The 20,945-nt window shown below is 41.7% G+C and overlaps 1 pseudogene, besides 2 other annotated features; it reads right to left on the minus strand.

Moving 5' to 3' along the window:
• RNA5SP451 (RNA, 5S ribosomal pseudogene 451) lies at positions 11,068-11,177 on the minus strand (annotated as a pseudogene).
• Positions 15,924-16,570: an enhancer, noted in NCBI's record as "OCT4-NANOG-H3K4me1 hESC enhancer chr18:19513802-19514448 (GRCh37/hg19 assembly coordinates)". NCBI's record gives its function as "activates a minimal SCP1, AML or CMV promoter by ChIP-STARR-seq in primed H9 embryonic stem cells {active_cell/tissue: H9 hESC(primed)}" and the evidence as "EXISTENCE:reporter gene assay evidence [ECO:0000049][PMID:30033119]".
• Positions 16,571-17,217: an enhancer, noted in NCBI's record as "OCT4-NANOG-H3K4me1 hESC enhancer chr18:19514449-19515095 (GRCh37/hg19 assembly coordinates)". NCBI's record gives its function as "activates a minimal SCP1, AML or CMV promoter by ChIP-STARR-seq in primed H9 embryonic stem cells {active_cell/tissue: H9 hESC(primed)}" and the evidence as "EXISTENCE:reporter gene assay evidence [ECO:0000049][PMID:30033119]".

The following is a 20,945-nucleotide window of genomic DNA, read 5'->3' on the forward strand; positions in this document are numbered from 1 at the left end:
TTTATTGAATTTCTTTAAAAGTCCAATTGGAATTGCACTAAATTTGTAGATTAATTTGGGGGAGAACTCAGGGAATCCATCCAAGAGGATGGCATAGCTCCCCACTAACTCAGCTCATTTTGTACATCCTTTGTTACAGTTTAAAATGTTTTCCATCAGAGGATTTATAAATTCTTAACTTAGTAACTTCTCAGTTACTATATATTTTTTGTTGCTGTTATGAATAATACTATATTTTAAAAAGTGATGTTTCCTAGGCAGTTATCATTAGTTTAGAGCAGAGATAGGGACGCTTTTTCTGTAAAGGGCCAGATAGTAAATATTTTAAGCCTGGCAGCCATGTAAGGTCTCTGTTACATATCCTTCTTTTTCTTTTTCTTAGTTGTTTTACAACCCTTTAATAAATGTAAAAACCATTCTTAGCTGGTGGGGGCCTTACAAAAACAGGCCTTAGAGGGCATTTGGCCCACAGCATGTTAGTTTTCCAGTTGCTAGTGTAGAAAAATGGTATTGACCTGTGTACATTTCTCTTTTAGTCTATGGTGTTGCTGAGCTCTCTTATTAGTTCTAATGATTTGCCTGATTGTTCTGTTAGTTTTCTACATAGGTGAATAATACAATTTTTATGTCTTCCCTTTTAATTCTTACCTCTCTTACTTCTTTTCCTCTTGTAGGGTTGGCCAGGACTTTTCCTTGTAATGTTCAACAGACGTAATGACAGTGGGCAGTCTTATCTTATTCTTATCTTAAAGGGAATACATCTAAAGTTTTTTCTTAACTATAATGTTTACTAAAGGCTTTGGTGTATTACTTTTACTAAGTTAAGAAAGTTTCCTTCTATTCCTAGTTTTCTAGGGATTTTTAAAAAAATCATAATTAAGTGGTGACTTTTATCTGAAACTTTTTCCATCATTTGAGATAATGCAATTTACCTCTTGTAGCCTACTAACGAGGTAAATTGATTTGATAGATTTTCACAGATTGAACCATCCTTGCATTTCTGAGATAAACTTCATTGATCAGGATTCAGTTAGCTATTGTTCTATTTAAGAATTTTATATCTACATTTCTAAGGGCAAGAGGCCTGTAATTTTCTTTTCTTATCAGGTTCTTATCTGACATTGAAATCAAGATTACATAGGTCTCATAAAATGAACTGTAAACCTGTCTTATTTTCTGGCACAACTTGTATAATATGAGTTAACTGTACTTTCAAAGTTTGCTAGACTTCCTCTGTAAATTATTTAAGGTAAAATTTTCTCTTTGTGAGGGGAGGTTTTGTTGACTACCTTTTCAATGTCTTTCATGCTTATTGGCTTATTTAAATTTTCTATTTTTTCTTGCACCAATTTTGTCATTTTTCCCCCTAGGAATTTGTCCACTTCATTTTGGTCATAAAATGTGTTAGTGTACAATTGTTAATAATATTTCTATAATTATTTTCTAATCTATTATATCTATTCTTTTCATTCTTTATTTTATTCATTTAAATATTTTCTCTTTTTCTTCATCAGTCTTGCAACATGTTTGCTACATTATTAGTCTTAAAAGAAAATAGCCCTTTAGTTTTGTTAAGATTCTCTTATTTTTGCCCCTTACTTCATTAATTTCTACCCTTCTCTGTGTAATAATTTCCTTCCTTTTTGCTTTTAAAAATTTGTCCTGTTACAGTTTACTCAATTTTTTGAGTTGAATCTCACTGGTGTATAACCTTTCTTGCTTCTTGGTAGAATTGTGTGGCCAGGTGCGGTGGTCACACCTGTAATTCCAGCACTTTGGGAGGCCAAGGTGGGTGGATAACTTGAGGTTAGGAGTTTGAGACCAGACACCAACATGGTGAAATCCTGTCTCTACTAAAAATGCAAAAATTAGCTTGGTGTGGTGGCGCATGCCTGTAATTCCAGCTACTTGGGAGGCTGAGGCACGAGAATTGCTTGAACCCAGGAGGTGGAGGTTGCAGTGAGCCAAGATCATGCCACTGCACTCCAGCCTGGGCAACAGAGCGAGATTCTGTCTCAAAAAAATAAAAAAAAAGACTTGTTTAAAAATATAACTTTTCCTTTAGCATTGCTTTAGCTGTGTCCTCCAAATTTTGACATGTATATTTGACATGACAAATAATACATTGACATGTATTATTTGACATGACAAATAATTCTCAATATTTAAAACATCAAGTTATTCAGTTGGAAAACAGTATTATTTTGTAATATGCTTTTTAGTTTTGATGCATATAGTATTTTTAAGCAACTATTTTAAGTTTTAATTTGTTATTTTATGAATTTATTGAGGCTACCTTTATGGTCTAATAAATCATCTTGTTTTGTAAATGTTCTACATGCACATGAAAAGAATGTGTTTCTATATTTGTTGAATGTAGAGTTTATCTATTTTTTTTCTTCTTTTTTTTCCTTTTTTTTTTTTTTTTTTTGAGATGGAGTCTCGCTCTGTTGCCCAGGCTGGAGTGCAGTGGCATGATCTCGGCTCACTGCAACGTCTGCCTCACAGGTTCAAGTGATTCTCCTGCCTCAGCCTCCCAAGTAAACTGGGATTACAGGCACCTACCACCATGTCTGGTTAATTTTTGTATTTTCGGTAGAGATGGGGTTTCACCATGTTGGCCAGGCTGGTCTCGAACTCCTGACCTCAGGTGACCTGCCCACCTCGGCCTCTCAAAGTGCTGGGATTACAGGCCTGAGCCACTGTGACTGGCTGAGTTTATATATTTCTAAAAGTTTGAGGTTGTTAACTGCACTGAATATCTCTTATTTTCTTTTTTATTAATCTATTAGTTCCTGAAAGTAGTCTGTTAAAATTTCCAGTTATAGTCTGTTTTTCCTTAGAGTTAGGTCAATTATTTATTGTTTTACATATCTTGAGATTGTATTGTTAAGTGTATATGTGTTTTGATGGTTATGTCTTCTTTTCTTTTTTTAAATTTTATTTTGGCTGGGTGAGGTGGGCTCACACCTTTATTCCCAATACTTTGAGAAGCTAAGGTGGGAAGATCGCTTGACTAGCCTGGGAAACATACTGATCCCAGTCTTGGACTCAAGTGATCCTCCTGCCTTAGCCTCCTGAGTGGCTGCAATTACAGGTGCACAACACCATGCCGACTTTTATATCTGCTTTTCATTTTCCTCCTTTTCAGTTTCTATGTTTTTTCCTGTTCACTTTTGATACTTTTTTCAGAAATTGATTTTTTCTGTATTAAGATAGCTATATCTGCTTTCTATTGGTCCATAGCTACCTAGCATGTGTTTATCCATTCTTTATTTTTCAATGTTTCTGTGTCTTCAAGTATGTCTTTTGTGGTCAACATATTATTTATAATTTTTTAATTATTTTTTTTTTAGAGACAGAGTCTCACTCTATTGCCCAGACTGGAGTGCAGTGGCACTATCAGAGCTCACTGTAACCTTGAACTCCTAGGATCAAGTAACTTTCCAGCCTCAGCTTCCTGAGTAGCTAGTACCACAGGCAAGTGCCAACATGCCTGGCTATTTTTTTTTTTTTTTTAATTGTAGAGGCAGGGTCTCGCTATGTTGCCCAGGCTGGTCTTGAACTCCTGGGCTTAAGCGATCCTTTTTGGCTTGACCTACCAAAGTGCTGGGATTATAAGTGTGAGCCATTGCACCTGGCCCAACATATTTTGTTTGTGTTATTTTTCAAATCTAATCTTAGAGTCTGTCTTTTAATTGGTGAGCTAATTTGAAAAAAATTCTAAAATATTTTTCTTCATAATTTATTCACATATTCCCTGCTTTTATTTTAAAAAGTCTCCTGGGACTCATATTAGATATTGATATGTTTTCTGCCCTTCAAATCTTTTAACTTTTAAAGCACTTTTAATGTGTCCTTATCCTTTCCTGCTGCCTGCTAGAGAGTTCATCTAATTTTGCTTTTGTCTTCTATTATTTTTTCTTTTTTCTTTTTTTTGAGATGGAGTTTCGCTCTTGTTGCCCAGGCTGGAGTGCAGTGGCGCAATCTCGGCTCACTGTAACCTCCACCTCCCGGGTTCAAGTGATTCTCCTTCCTCAGCCTCCCGAGTGGCTGTGATTACAGGTGCGTGCCACAATGCTCAGCTAATTTTTGTATTTTTTGTAGAGATGGGGTTTTACCATGTTGGCCAGGCTGGTCTGGAACTCCTGACCTCAGGTGATCTACCCACCTTGGCCTCCCAAAGTGCTAGGATTACAGGCATGAGCCATGGCACCCGGCTTTCTATAATTTTCTATTATTTTTTCTATCTATTGTGTTCTTTACGTCAACTTTTATATATTCGTAGTCAACTTTTCTACCTTTTTCTTATAGTTTTTAATTCTTAATTTTTGGTCCTAAGATATATAACCCCTTGTTTATATATACAAACTATATATATATAGTGTTTATTTAAAATTCTTCGTCCATCTGTTTCCATTTTGCTTTAGCTGGTATCTGTGTTTAGCTCACTGTTTGTCTGTTAGAGACGTTCTCAGGTATCTAGTTATTTGTGCCTGTGAGCTCATGTTCACCTGGGAATAACAGCTGCTCTTTCTGGTAATGTGTTTGGGGAAAGGGATGAAGGCCAGACCCCAAGCCAAATCTCTCTGAGTATTAGGGAGAGGGGAGTAGGAAGTCCCAGTGCAGAGAGATGCCCTCAGCTACTGTTAATTATTTCTTTTTCAGGAGTAATATCCACCAGACAACTCTGCCTCAGGAATCCTTCTTTAAACTCTTTGAAATAAGCAGCTCTAGTAGAAGCCAGTTTCCTTAGTTTGTAGTACCCCAGTCATGGGCAACTGGTGTGTGGGGGACCATCAGTCCAGGCCTGTTTTTATTAATATCTCACTCCAGCAGGACTTTTGTGCTACCCTGATATTACCATTCTGACATGGGACAGGCTTGGGGCTGTTGCTGTCAATTTCTCTGGAGATGGGTGAAATATATATTTTTATTTTAATTTGGATTCCTTGATAATAAATGAGGTTGAACTATACATATATATGTTATATATGTTTGTACATATATATATACACACAGTATATATAAATTTTACAACAAGGATTTCTTTTATGAATTGTTAATTCACTTTGCCCATTTTATTATTTATTTATTTATTTGTATTGATTGATAAAATGTCTTTGTATGTGATAAATAGTTTTTCTTATGTAGCTTTCGTATTCTGTTTCAATGAGTTGCCTTTTATAACTTTATTTATGATATTTCTTTGCTAAACAGCCTTGTTAATTTTTATATAGCTAAATATGTCTTTTATTTTTCATTTATGACCTCTGGGTTTTATGCCTCTACTTAATTTTAGTGATGCAAATAAAACCCCTCACACATAGACAAATGAGGATTTTAAACAAATCTGTTATTTATTAAATATTTATTTTTTACTTTTACTATTTATTTATTTTAGGGATGGGGGGTCTCCCTATGTTGCCCAGGCTGGTCTTGAACTCCTGGCCCCAAGCAATCCTCCTGCCTCTGCCTCCCAAAGTGCTGGGATAACAGGCATGCACCACTATGCCTGGCTTATTTTTACTTTTTAAAACTTGCTGTTCTTTTCTAAAAAATGAGATCTTGCTATATTGCCCAGGCTGGAGTGCAATGCTGGTGACCACAGTGCACTGCAATCTTGAACTCCTGACCTCAAAGCAATCCTCTCGCCTCAGCCAAGTAGGTGTGTGTGTCACCATGCCTAGCTGTTGTTAGATTTTTAAATTTAAAAAGTACACACTTGACATAAACAAATTAAGCAATTTGAAAGGCTATAAAGTTAATATTCTTCCCCTCCCCCATGATCAATCTCTGAGATAATTAATGTAAACACTTTTCTCACAAATGTATATACTTATAGAAGCTTCTATCTCTCAAATCATTACTCTGCAAGTTTTTTTTTTTTTTCTTTTTTCCCCGAGACGGAGTCTTGCTCTGTCACCCAGGGTGGAATGCAGGGCCTGATATCAGCTCACTGCAACCTCTGCCTCCCGGGTTCAAGCGATTCTCCTGCCTCAGCCTCCCGAGTAGCTGGGATTACAGGCATGTGCCACCACGCCCAGCTAATTTTTGTATTTTTAGTAGAGACAGGGTTTCACCATGTTGGCCAGGCTGGTCTCGAACTCCTGACCTCCAGCAATCTGCCCGCCTTGGCCTCCCAAAGTGTTGGGATTACAGGCGTGAGCCACTGCAACCGGCCTTGCAAGTTGTTTTTTAAAAAGAAAGCATGGTATTTATAGCTATCACATCAGACCAATATTTATAATTTAATTCATTATTTTCTTAGAAAAATAATATTTTGGCTGGGTGCAGTGGTGTGGGCCTGTAGTCCCAGCTACTCAGGAGGCTGAGGCTGGGGGATCCCTTCAGCCTAGGACTTTGAAGCTGTAGTGTTCTATGATTGCACCTGTGAATAGCCACTGCACTCCAACCTGTGCAACACAATGAGACCCTGTCTCAAAAAATAATAATTAAAAATAACATTCTGTGATATGGATGTTCTACAATCTATTTATCTATTCTCTTACTGATAGATATGCTAGTTTTTTCCAGCTTTTGTGAATATAAATAACAATAAACAAGCAACAAATATCCTTGGATCAGTGGAAATGGATAGTCCAAAAATAGTTCAAAGAATATATAGCAACTTGATTCATCATAAAAATGACATTTCAATTCAGTGAAAAAAGGCCAGGTGCCGGTGGCTCATGCTTGTAATCCTAGCACTTTGGGAGGCCAAGGTGAGAGGATCGCTTGAGCTCAAGAGTTCGAGACCAACCTGGGCAACATGGTGAAAACCCATCTCTAAAAATAGAAAAAATTAGCTGGGCGTGGTGATGCATGCCTGTAGTCCCAGCTACTTGCTGGGCTGAGGCAGGAGGATCGCTTTAACCTGGGAGGTTGAGGCTGCAGTGAGCCAAGATTGTGCCACTGCACTCCAACCTAGGTGACAAAGTGAGATCCTAAAACAAAACAAAGATGATTTATTTAATAAGTAATGCTAGCATAACTAACAGTTTCCACCTGGGACAAAAATAACACTTCTTTTTTATACCATGTATAGAAATAAGCTCCAGATGCAATAAGACTAAAATGTAAAAAATTTGAAATATTAGGAGACAATTTAGCAGACTATTTTTACATAATTTCAGAGTTGGGAAATTTTTTCTTTTAGAAATTTTGGAAGCCTTGAAATCATAAAAGAAAAAACATGAACAGGTTTAAATGTATAAAAAATTAATGTTTTATGTCTCTACATGATACAGGTAACACTAAAGGTTTTTACATGTCATTTTAAGGACAAATAAATGTTCAGGTCTTGGATTTTGTCTGATGAGAAATGGAATTTTATTACTACAGAGTCTGCATAACTATATCTGACCATAACTATCTGTACATAACTACACCTAACTATATATCGATACTTATATAACTATATCTGATATGTTGTAATGGGATTTTGTTCTAATGATTATATTTCTCGAAATTGCATCTCTAAAATCTGAAAATTTAACAGTACTTCTTTATTGGGAATTATTGTGAGGAAAAGAGTTACATAGTTTATACCACTCCTCATTCTACAATATTTACGTATGTGGATGTGGGTTGAATTTTCTTCCAGAGGGGATTTTGGAAATTTCGTTAAGTAAGTGATGAAACTGGTATGATGGCTGAAGATAACTGAAGGGTAATTAGAGTTCTTTTGTTTGGCTTTTAGGTGGCAAAAAGTTTAGCTGTGGCTGACATATAAATATACAATTGCATATTTCTTTTAAAAAGTTGACTTTGCTAACAGACACCAGATTTTTTTTCTTTGTTCTGGATGATGAGTTGTAAGTGGATCAAAAAGAAGTATTGATTTGTTCCACTGGCACACTAAAGGAGCATTCAGTGTTTTAAATCTTTAACAAGACATTTATTGCCCTAATCACTAAAATCAGTGGTTATAAATTAGGATGTTTCCTGCAAAGTTAGGTTTATAACCAGCTTCTTGTTTAACTGGGAACTTTAAAGATGATCCAGTTTTAGTCCCATCTCATCTGTGAAATGAGGACACTGGGGCCAGAGGGATTAAGTCACTTCTCAGAGTGAATGAAGAGCAAAGCCCGGACTAGAACCCTCCCGCTGTTTTTAACTCTTCTTCATAGGGAACCAGGGGTGCCAACAACAGGGGGCAGAAAAAGACTAGTGGCAAAGGCATTTGAATTGGGAATATAATAATGTCTCCCCAAAGATTTCCTGCTGCTGTAGCATACTGTATTTTATGGGCACTGTCCGCTCCTGGACAATTTCTGTTGCTTCCTTGGAGGGGCCACTGAAAGCAGATGTCTGCAAGGCAGCATCCCGACCGTCCATGTCTTGAGTCCTGATTCTTCAAATGCCCATGCTTCTGTGCATCCAGACAATTGTGGAGTGAGCAGACAAGGCAGGGAGAAGTGACTTATAGGACGTGATTCAGCAACATAAAAAGAGGGGCTTACTTATTTCATACATTCATGATGAACCCATCCTAACTGGATCATTAAATTATTGACTTAACTTCAATAATATAATTATCTCAGTAGAATCTACTTGGGCTTCTGAATCAAGGTAAATTGTGATTTTATCACACGTAAGTTGAAAAGGTATGAAATGGAGGTGAGCAAATGGACACCTTTAGGAAAGAGACTTGGTTGTGATGTCTTGTGGGGGGATGACCAGGGAGAGATGTGGGTTTGCATGGGGGCTGGAAGGAAGCAATTTATAATGTACACGGGGCCCCCTACAAATGGCTCTATTTTTTCTTGTAAGGATATGTATTGGTCAGATGTTTTCAAATTCACATAATGTTTGGGCCAGATGATAACCTGTTGAGTCATTAATATCTGTCCCTTGCTTTCTGTTCCTGCTGCTGCATTTGGGTTTTAGCCATTCATTATCTCTTGCTTGGAAATTGTCAATGGTCTTCTCCTTAGTCTCACTACTAGTGCCAATCCCCTTCCTAGCCATTTTCTATGTGACTTCCAATGTGACCCTTTTGAAAGCACAGGGAGATATTGCTACACACCTATTAAAATGGCCACAATTAGAAACCAAAATAAAACAAAAAAATCATGTGGCTGAGTGGGGAGGATTACTTGAGGTCAGGAATTTGAGACCAGCCTGGGTTAACATAGTGAGACCCCTGTCTCTACACACAAAAAGTAATAATTTAAGGGCGAGGTGCGGTGGCTCATGCCTGTAATCCCAGCACTTTGGGAGGCCAAGGCGGGTGGATCTGCTGAGGTCAGGAGTTCGAGACCAGCCTGACCAACATGGTGAAACCCCTTATCTACTAAAAACCACAAAAATTAGCCAGGTATGGTGGTGGGGACCTGTAATCCCAGCTACTCCGGAGGCTGAGGCAGGAGAATTCCTTGAACCTGGGAGGCAGAGGTTGCAGTGAGTTGAGATCACGCCATTACACTCCAGCCTGGGCAACAGAGCAAGACTCTGTCTCAAAAAAAAAAAAACAGTAATAACTCAAAAAATTAGCCAGGCATGGCGGCATGCACCTGTAATCCCAGGTTTTTGGGAGGCTAAAGTGGGAGGATTCCTTGAGCCCAGGAGTTTGAGGCTGCAGTGAGCTATGATCATATTACTAAACTCCAGCCTAGGTGACAGAGTGAGACTTTGTCTCAAAAAAAAAAAAAAAAAAAAGTTGTGTGTGAACGTAAGTTTTTGCTTCATGTGGGTAAATATCTAAACATGTGATTGCATGGTTGAATGGTAAATATAAATTTCACTTTTTTTTTTTTTTCGAGACGGAGTTTCACTCTTGTTGCCAAGGCTGGAGTGCGATGGCATGATCTCAGCTCACAGCAAACTCTGCCTCCCGGGTTCAAGCAATTCTCCTGCCTCAGCCTCCCGAGTAGCTGAGATTACAGGCATACACCACCATACCCAGCTAATTTTTGTATTTTTAATAGAGATGGGGTTTCACCACGTTGGCCAGGCTGGTCTCGAACTCCTGACCTCAAGTGATCTGCCTGCCTTGGCCTCCCAAAGTGCTGGGATTATAGGCGTGAGCCACTGCACCTGGCCACAAAAACTTTTATGCAAATGTTTAAACAGCTTGATTTGTGATTGCCCCAAACTGCAAACAACCCAAATGTTCTTCAAGTGGTAAACGGTTCTACAAACTATGGTACATCCATGGCATGAAATTTACTCAGCAATAAGAAGAAATGAACTCCCCATACCTGAGGTAACAAGAATGGATCTCAAATGCATTACGCTAAGTGGAAAAAGCCAGGCTCTAAAAGTCATGTACCATATGATTTCATATTTATGACTTTCTGGAAGAGGTAAAACTACAGGAACAGAAAACAAATGTGGTTGCCAGAGGCTGGGTAGGGATAGAAGAGTGATTGATTACAAAGCCTGGGGAAATATTTTGAGTTGATGGAACTGTTCTTTTTTTTTTTTTCTTTTTTTTTTTTTTTTGAGACAGTGTCTCAGTCTGTCACCCAGGCTGGAATGCAGTGGTGCCATCTTGCTCACTGCAACCTCTGCCTCCCAGGTTCGCACCCTCTGCCTCCCAGGTTCAAGTGATTCTCCTGCCTCAGCCTCCTGAGTAGCTGGGATTACAGGCATGCACCATCATGCCTGGCTAATTTTTGTATTTGCAGTAGAGTCAGGGTTCCACCCTATTGGCCAGGCTGGTCTTGAACTCCTGACCTCAAGTGATTCTCCCACCTCGGCCTCCCAAAGTACTGGGATTACAGGCATGAGCCACCATGCCTGTTCTGATGGAACTGTCCTATATTTGGGTTGTGTGAGTAGTTATGTGACTATATCCATTTGTCAAAAGTCACAGAACTGCATGCTAAACTGCGTAAATTTTAATGTACGTAAATTATATCTCAATTTAAAAAAAGATCCTTGTTTACGTATAAGAACCAATGAGATGCACCTGTTGAATTTCAGCTTCTTATCATGCCTCTGCCATTCTGCACTGAGCTGTATTGCAGAGTTGGGAATATCTTGGGCTGTGGGGTTATGGTGGCTTCCACTCCTCTCCTCCCTAGGGGAGAGGCACATTTAGCTAGCTAAGAACGAAACCACGTATTCCTACCCAACTTTCTCCCTTCCAAATATTAGCCAGACCCAACCCTGCTTAGCTTTTGAGATCAGACAGGATTGGGTGCTTTCAGAGTACTATGGCAGCAGGCCCTACCCAACTTTCTATCCATAGAACCCTGCCCCCTTCAGGTTCAGGAGCGTCTTGATTAATCTAGTGGGTCATTCATCAAATGTGAATTGTAGGTTCATTGTTTATTTTTTCTTTAATTCCACAAAGTGAGTAGTTCAGATGCATTTTAGGGATTACACTTTGTTTTGCGTATAAATGGATGCTTGAAGGGAAATTAGCTTCTCTGGGCCCTGAGCTTACAGCATCCTTCATTGCTCTTGCTGGGCTGCCTGTTTCTTCTTTGGTGTTCCTGGTCTGTACTGAAGAGTCCAGGGAAAAGACCTCACTGATCAGAGAATCACTCATTGCCTTACTCTTCTGTCCTACTGTCAGAGGACGGTTATGATTTTTGCTTCAGGACGCGTGATCATCCTAATTGTAGCCTCCAGAGGTGTCAGGCTCACTAATGGTTCTGAGGCCATCTTGATTCCAGAGCAAGCAGCTGATTTGTTTTTTCCTTGACTTCCTGTTCTTGGTGACAGGTTTGATCATACTAGGTGTTAGAAACCCAGTAAGAAATGAATGAAAATGCAATTTAGTGACACACATTGGCAAAACATTAACATTTCCCAATTCTCTTGATTATGATGAAAAGGGGGCTTGTTCTTGGACTCTAAATTATTATTATTACTTCTTGTTTTAATTTTCTTGCTTTAATCAAGTGGAATGTTAATCCATTTTCTCGGAGCTGAATTTAGAATTTCTCAGGATGCATCTGGATCCAGTTCTACTGACACAAAATATTTCCAGTCTTAATTCTTTCTACATTGAAGATAAGAACAGCCAGGTGCGGTGGCTCACACCTGTAATCCCAGCACTTTGGGAGGCCAAGGTGGGTGGATCACTTGAGATCAGGAATTGAAGACTAGCCTGGCCAACATGGTGAAATCTCATCTGTACAAAAATACAAAAATTAGCTGGGCATGATGGCATATGCCTGTAATCCCAGCTACTTGGTAGGCTGAGGCAGAAGAATTGCTTGAGCCTGGGAGGTGGAGGTTGCAGTGAGCCGAGATTGCACCGTTGCACTCCAGCCTGGGTGACAGATCAAGATTCCATCTCAAAAAAAAAAAAAAAAAGACCAAGATTTCTCTGTGAGAGTAAACAAGAGTGCTCACCATCTATGCAGCACAGAAGAGAAAGCAGGGGCCTCCTTCCCGCCCCCCGGTTTAATGACATGGAAGAGGAGTAGTGGGGCAGAGGCCAAGATGCAGCGTTTCCTGGAGCCCCAAACCCTCATTGGAGCACTTTCTTTTCCTGCAACGAAGGCCAACATTCTTCCGCAACTCCACAGATGACCCTGCTACACAGATTTATTTTTCCTGAATCTAACGTGTCAAAAAATTCCAGGGCCAGGACCCTTGCTATTTCCAAGCCAACCTTTCACCCTAGAGTTTCCCAGTGATGTTCTTAAGGAAGTGAGACATTTGGTTTGCTTCATACCAGCTGATTCAACTGACCCGGGAAAGGTTGTAGTTAATTCTTTTGGTTGTTGTTGTTTGTTTTTTTTTTGAGACGGAGTCCCTCTCTGTCACCCAGGCTGTAGTGAAGTGGCGTGATCTCAGCTCACTGCAGCCTCTGCCTCCTGGGTTCAAGTGATCCTCCTGCCTCAGCCTCCTGAGTAGCTGAGACTACAGGTGCGCACCACTACCCCCAGCTAATTTTTGTATTTTTAGTAGAGACGGGGTTTTGCCATGTTGGCCAGGATGGTCTTGAACTCCTGACCTCCGGTGATCTCCCCGCCTCGGCCTCCCAAAGTGCTGGGATTACAGGTGTGAACCACTGTGCCCGGCCTGGTTGCGGTTAATTCTGCAACTACTGCCTTGCTGGGCTACTGTGGGAAACAATGTTTTTTCAACTAAGCCAGTAAGATGGCAGCACCAAAGGAACTCCTCAAGCACCCACCTGAGCACTGTCTTTGGTCCCCTGTCATCCCAATGTCTCGAGGCTAGCTTCATGCCATCTTTGCCAAGGATTTTCTCTAAGCCCGGCTTTTCATGTGGATGGCATGTCTCTCCCATAAGGCCTAGTTGTATTTCTTTGGAAACCTCCCACGGTGCCTAATGCAATCCCTAGCACATATATTGAGTTACATACTTGGGGCTGTTCTGCAGCCTGCCTGGGGCTTGGAGCTGGTTTCATCTTTTTTTAGAGCATAGATCCAATTGTGGGCAGGTAGGTGCCTTTCAGCCTTAGGGGCTCTAAGCTCTCTGTGAGGATTGGCTGGGTGTTTCTAGATGTTCGCTGTCACTACTGGTGGGTTTTCTTTGCCTGCCTGTAACTGTCTCTGCCTCCCCTAGTTTTGCCACCATTTAGTGATATTGACAATGAAAATGACAATGGCAGCAAGAGGACTGACAGGCGGTATAGAATAGTGTGGATTCTGCAGGCCGACTACCTGGGTTCACATTCTATTTCTGCTGCTTACTAGTTGTGTGACCTTGGGCAAGTTGCCTAACCCCTCTGTGCCTCAGTTTCTCATCTGTAATAGTCTCTATTTCATATGGTTGTCATGAATTAGAAGTGAGTAAATATGTGTAAATTCTTAAAACTTCACATGTCATCTATTATTTTTATTGTTAGTACAGCTACCATGTATTGGATGCTCACTAAATGTCAGGCACTATTAAAAGTATCTCATAGGTATTTTATTTAAACCCTTACAACAACCTTGTGAGAGGAGTATGCTTATACCCATTTTAAAGGTAAGGACACTAAGGCTCAGTAACTCATTCAGATGGTTCCACTAATGAGTGGTAGAACCAGGATACAAACCCAGGGCTGCCTGCATCTGATGCCTTGCTCTTTTTTTTAAAAAAAAGAATATATATATAATTTTTTTATTTTTTAAGACAGGGTCTTACTATGTTGCCCAGGCTGGTCTTGAACTCCTGAGCTCAAGTGATCCTCCCGCCTCAGCCTTTCGAAGTGCTGGGATTACAGGTGTGAACCATTGCACCAGCCTGATGACTTGCTCTTAATCAGTTTGCTAATATATCTTCTTATATTGACGTGGCCAATCACAAATATGGTACATTAGCTGTTGCAGCTCCTTTCCTTTTCATCTGCATTTGGAGAGATATGTCGTGACTCTATTTTTTTCTCTTCCATGATCTCTTTTCTTCCACTATGGTTGGCAAAAATACCTTGCCAATGTTTTGGAGTGACTGAAAGTTGAGGTAACCATCTCAGCCACAGCTTATGAGGTCTTCAGAATGGCTTGGTTCCTCAAGGAGTCAGGCATTTGTGAAGTCTATGCTGCCCAGGGCTGGAAGAAATTTTGGATGACAGAGAAGGTTTGTGGTTATACTTTTGTCTTTATTTCCAAATTGCTTCTATGACGGGTTGATCAAGTGGTCTAGATTCTGAGGCTGCAGACCTACCCGATGCCCTTGTTTGTGGTCTCATTAGCTTGTGGTACCTGATATAGGTTAGATAGATCTCGGATCTTTCTGCACTGTTGGGCAAGCTTACAAAGTCATTTAACCTCCCTGCAGTTCTCTGAAAAGAAAAAGAATAACACTTGATTTATCAGGTTGGGAGGGAGTTAAAAATATGTCTGTGGAAGCTCTTAGCAGGCATTCAAGAAGTGTTTACTTCTCTAGTTCCAGTCTGTAGCTACAAATGTTGGCAAGAATTTTACAATGAATAACAGAAGGATATTTTATGTATCAGACTTAGCCATTGTCACTAAGTAGAAAACATTCAGTGTGTGCCCTCCAGGCCCACACTATGATGATTGAGCACTAGCCAGGGGGCACTATGCTAGATGAATTAAATGCTTATTGATCCTCCTAGCTCCCATGTAAGAGAGGGATTTTCTCCATTTTGCACATGAGAAAACAGGTTCAGAGAAATAAAAGTTTCCCAACGTCATACAGCTAGTTAGGCTCTAAAGAAGTACCATCTTTATATGAAAGGAATAGAACAAATGTTATTCATTTGTCATGTTTGTTGATCATTTGATATGCACTTGGCACAGATTTAGGTGTTATGTGTATAAAGCAAAGAAATATACATGGAGACTTACACTTTAGTTGAAGAGATAATCACACAGACATTGCAGACTTAAAAGCCTGAACTCTGCCGGCCTCTCACTACAATACACTTGAAAATTCTGGGCCAAGCGTGGTGGCTCATGCCTGTAATCCCAGCACCTTGGGAGGCCAATGTGGGTGGATGACCTGGGGTCAGGAGTTCAAGACCAGCCTGGCCAACATGGCGAAATCCTGTCTCTACCAAAAATACAAAAATTAGCCAGGTGTGGTGGCGTGCAACTGTAATTTTTTTAAAACAAAGGGGTAAGCTAAAGCCTAAGGTGAAAATATCCTAGGAGAGAAGGTATTGGGATAATACAATTCTCCCTGTACAGAATCATGTACAATTTGGTGCTTAATACATAATTTTCTTTGGACAGGGAGAGAGGGATGTGATGCCCATCGGTCAGCCCCTTCAGAGAATTCTGTGTGGCATTTTGTCAGCTTCATGTGGTCATCTTCACCCCTCTCAGATTTACCATAACCACAGTGACATCTAAAGGAAACTCTCACACTTGGTGAGAACTGTCCAACTACCCAAAGACAGATTGGCATCAAAACTGGGAGTGTAAGGACTAGGTGCTGTGGCTTACACCTGTAATCCCAGCTACTTGGGAGGCTAAGATGGGAGGATCTCTTGAGGCCAGGAGTTTGAGACCAGCTTGGGCAACATAGTGAGACCCTGTATCAAAAAACAAAACAAAACAAAATCTAAGACTCTCTTTATCCCACAAATATCTATGAGTTCAGAGTTCTGTGCTAGAAGCAGCATGTTTACAGGTGAGAATGAGCCCCTTTGTCTGGAGGAGCCATTGTTTCTCCCTGCTGGTGGGGCTGTCATTTCCACTCTGCAGCCAGGGAGAGCCAAAGAGGTTGAACCTGAACAGAAGAAAAGCCCAGGAGGATTTGCATGTGCTTTGGTCTGCGTGCTCTAATCCAGCTTCCTTAGGTCCTTGGCAGAGGAGGTAAAATGAGCAGTAGAGATGTGAGGGAATTGGGGCCCCCCCAAGTTGGGTCCAATCTACTAAGAGATGCAAATTGATAAATAAACACTAAAACAATGAGGCTCTGCTAATTCTCTGACAAAGGACAAATTGCTAATCTAACCTCACTGCCAGGAAACCTGCCTCAGTTGAACAAAGGCCGCATTTTCAGCGGCTGTTGTATATGTAAACTGGCTGTGCTGGTCAGTTAAGTGGATTTACTCTCACCTGCCTCCCGGGGGAGGGGTGGCAGGTAATCCTTCCTTTCTCTAAAGGTCTCAGCGAAACGGTCATTTGATCTGACCAGGAAAGGCCTGGGAGGATGTACCAAATTTTAGCCACTTTAGAATAACTGCCAAATTGCTCATGGACAAAAGGGCCAGTGTACGAAGGGGCAGGGGCTGGCAGTGGCAGCCCTTCCAGCTCAGGATTCGTAAAAGGCCTTGGGTGTCCCAGCCTCTCTCCAGCTGCCCCACCCCAGGGTTTGAGGCCTTCTCTGGAGAGAGGTGGTTGTCAGTGCTCCTGGGTGCTAGTGATTTTCTGACAAGGTGTCTGTCACCTGGGGCCTTGCTGTGGGATGCAGCCTGCCTCCCTGTGGACTCTCTGCCCTCCCCGACTTCCTCGTGAAGGCTGTCTCCCACTCAAGGTGTCAGCTCATTCATTCTTCCAACTGACCTGCAGAGGAGAGTCTGGCGCTGAGATGACACCTTCACAGACAGAGTGAACCCAAAGCTAATCACCTGGGGATGTCGCAGATAAGCCCCAGTCTCAGTGGCCTCTGGCCTCCTTTACCTTCTCCTGGCTCTGCCTCCTGTCAGCCCATGTCCTCCTCCTCAAAGGCACCCTTCTGGGTGGGCTAAAGCGTGGCTCCGTAAGGGAGGAAATGGTAGCTTTTCTGGAGCAACTGGTGCTCTTGAGACACATCCTGCTGTGATTTCACACACACAAGTCTTGCTCAGGGGGACATAGCCTGGACCTCTTACAGTGTCAGAATTGCAAAGCATCTTCACACTCCCCGGTCTGAGGCCCAGGGAAGAACTTTGAAGTCATTTCTGGAGATGCTACCAAGGAACGGGTGATTTCAAACACAGATTCAGAATTGATGAAGAATAAGCACAACTTAGCCCCGACAGGGCCTTTGAGAGGGCGCCTGGGTGATGTCTGGAAGCCTCCCCACATTCAGGGATGGAATTCTTTCTGCTATGCCCCCTTCCATGTGGGACTGCAGACACAGACTCTTGGTTCTGTGACCAGAGACTCTTATGTGAAGACTCATGACAAATTTTCTGTCTGTTTGGCTGGGCGTGGTGGCTCATGCCTGTAATCCTAACAGTTTGGGAGGCCAATGTGGGTGGATGGCTTGAGCCCAGGAATTTGAGACCAGCCTGGGCGAAATGGAGAAATCCTGTCTCTACTAAAAAACAGAAAAATTATCTGGATGTGGTGGTGCACGCCTGTGGTCCCAGCTACTCAGGAGGCTGAGGTGGGAGAATCCTTTGAGCAGGGAGGCATAGATTGCAGTGAACTGAGATCACACCACTGCACTCCAGTCTGGGCAACAGAGGGAGACCCTGTCTCAAAAAAAAAAAAAAAAAAATTCTGACTGTTCAGGCTCAGATGCCTACTTTATGGTCCCAGTTCAAAGGCTGCCACTTGGGACTGAATCTCCAGGGGACTGTCACAGAGGTGGAGGGTGAGGGTGGGTGAACAGGTGAACGGGTGAACAGGGATGAGCTGCTGAAAAACTTTCTTGGTTTTGGTCCGAGGCTCAGCTCACAAAGCCCGCCCCCCTCCATGAGGGACACTTCTTTGCTCCTGCTGGCTTTTTTGGAGCGTCCACTCTTGAAGGCTCCCCTGTCATGCCTTTTGGAGGATGATAGTTATACTGGTTCTGAATCCCATGCCCCTGACATTCCTCTTGTCCAGGTCCTCGTCCAAGTCTTGGTGGCAAATCCACCTTCCAGGCTCCATCTTAGCGGCAGCACTGGCAGGCTGGTCTCTTGCCCTTTGGCCCTGTCTCTCTCCTGGCTTTCTGGGCCACACACTCTGTGGGTTCTCCTCCCTCTTCCAGGCCCTCTGCCAGCTCCTGCTCCTCCCTCGTCCTCACTCAGCTCCTACACATCCTTCAGGGCCCAAGTGGAGCTCCCTCAGAGAGGAGTTGCCCAAAACCTCTGCATCTGCTCTGGTCCAAAGTATGTTCACTCTCTTATTCTCTTATTGCATCCTGTTCCTTCCCTCCAACAAGCTTCCACTGGTCATTTGCTCATATTTATATAGATATACTGTCTGCTTCCCTCTTTCAGACTAAACTCCATGATGGAGACCATGTCTATGTTGTTCAGATGCTATAGCGATGCCTTGCACAGGGCTTGGTGCATAGTAGGTGCTCAATAAATACTTGTTGAAGGAGTGAATGGATGGCTGAATGCATGCTTACAGTGTACTGTGTGATGCTGAGCGATTCTATATATTATCTTATTTACGCCTCATGTAGATCTTATCGAGCAAGTGTTATGATCATTTTACAGGTGAAGAAACTGAGGCTTTGAGAAGTTAAGTGAATTCCTTAAGGTCACAGTTGGTGTCGGTGCTGAGATTAGAACTCAAATCTCTCTGACCTCAAGCCCTAGACTCCATTTCTTATAACTGCTCACTGGGGAAGGTGGGTTGCATTCCTCCAACATTGTTTCCATCTTATCAATTTCTTACTTTCTTACTCAAGAACATCGGTGGTTCCCTGTTATTCATTGTATCCCTACCCAACTCTTTGCCTAACCTTCAGGGCTGGACACTGATGACTGTGATGGCTCTTTACTCTTTAACACAGAACTTAGACTTCAGATAAGCAAATTAAGGACCATTTAATTATGGTAAGTTTCTATTTTCTTCATGTTTGCTTAGGCAGCTAAGCATGCAGGTTCTAAATCAATCAGTCTAGGGTTCAATTCTGGCTTCATCATCCCTGTGATCCTCCCTCTTTTGTCTTTGAATTTGAGAGGCTCTTTAAAAACTACCATTTCTTAATCTTATGCAAAAAATGTGTCTTACTTAAGAATGTAATGCACATTTTAGTTGAAAGGCAGGGAGATAACTGGTATTTCTTAAACCCTTCTCTCTCTTAATTCTTTAGTACGGAGGCTGATTTTACTCTTTTTTTTTTTTTTGAGACAGGGTCTTACTCTGTCACCCAGGCTGGAGTACAGTGAGATCATGGCTCATTGCGGCCTTGACCTCCTGGGCTCAAGAGATCCTCCCAGCCTTCTGAGTAGCTGGGACCACAGGTGAGCACCACCATGCCTGGCTAATTTTTAATTTTATGTAGAGACGGTGTCTCCCTATGTTGCTCAATTTTTCTCTTTCTAATTGTGATGCTATTATAGTTAGGAATTGATATAGGATCATGAGGGAAATGCAAGTCAAAACCAAAATAGATACTCCTTCCCTTCCGTTAGGGTGACTATTATAGGAAAACACACACACATACACATAACAGAAAATAACAGGTGTTGGTGAGGATGCGGAGAAACTGGAAGCCTTGTGCATTGCTGGTGGGAAAGTAAAATGGTGTTTCCACTGTGAAAAACAGTATTTTTGGGATCTTCGAAAAATTAGGCCAGGCGCAGTGGCTCACGTCTGTAATCCTAGCACTTTGGGAGGCCGAGGCGGGCGGATCACGAGGTCAAGAGATTGAGACCATCCTGGCCAACATGATGAAACCCCATCTCTACTAAAAATACAAAAGTTAGCTGGGAGTGGTGGCGGGTGCCTGTAGTCCCAGCTACTTGGGAGGCTGAGGCAGAAGAATTACTTGAACCCGGGAGGCAGAGGTCGCAGTGAGCCAAGATCATGCCACTGCACTCCAGCCTGGAGACAGAGTGAGACTTTGTCTCAAAAAAAAAAAAAAAAAAAATTAGACATAGGCTGGGTGTGGTGGCTCATGCCTGTTATCTGTAATCCCAGCACTTTGGGAGGCTGAGGCAGATGGATCACTTGAGGTCAGGAGTTTGAGACCAGCCTGGCCAACATGGTGAAACCTCATCTCTACTAAAAATACAAAAATTAGCTGAGTGTGGTGGTGCATGCCTGTAATCTCAGCTACTTGGGAGGCTGAGGCAGGAGAATCACTTGAACCCAGGAGGCGGACATTGCAGTGAGCTGAGATAGCACCACTGCACTGCACTCTAGCCCTGGCAACAAAGCCAGACTCTTTCTCAAAACAAAAACAAAAACAAAAACAAAAGTTAGACAGAATTACCATATGTCTCAGCAATCTGAATATATACCCTAAATAATCGAAAGCAGGGACTGGAAGAAATATTTATATACCCATGTCCATAAGCAGCATTATTCACAAGAGCCCGAAGATGGAGACAACTCAAGTGTCCATCAATAGATGAACAAACAAAAGTGATACATACGTGCCATGAAATATTATTCAGCCTTCAAAAGGGATGCAGTTCTGATAGATGCCATGACATGGATGAACTTCAAGAACATTATGCCAAGTGAAATAGCCAGTCACAAAAGGACAAATTATATGATTCTACTTATGACAGATACCTAAAATAGGCAAATTCATAGAGACAGAAAGTAGAGCAGAGGTGACCAGGGGCTGGGGGGAGGGGCAATGGACAGTCATGGTTTAATGGGCACAGAGTTCCAGTTACGGATAATGAAAAACTTCTGGAGATGGATGGTGGTGTTGGTCACACAACCATGTAGATGTAC

Source organism: Homo sapiens, chromosome 18 (assembly GCF_000001405.40).
Source record: "Homo sapiens chromosome 18, GRCh38.p14 Primary Assembly".
In the NCBI taxonomy this organism is placed as follows: domain Eukaryota; kingdom Metazoa; phylum Chordata; class Mammalia; order Primates; family Hominidae; genus Homo; species Homo sapiens.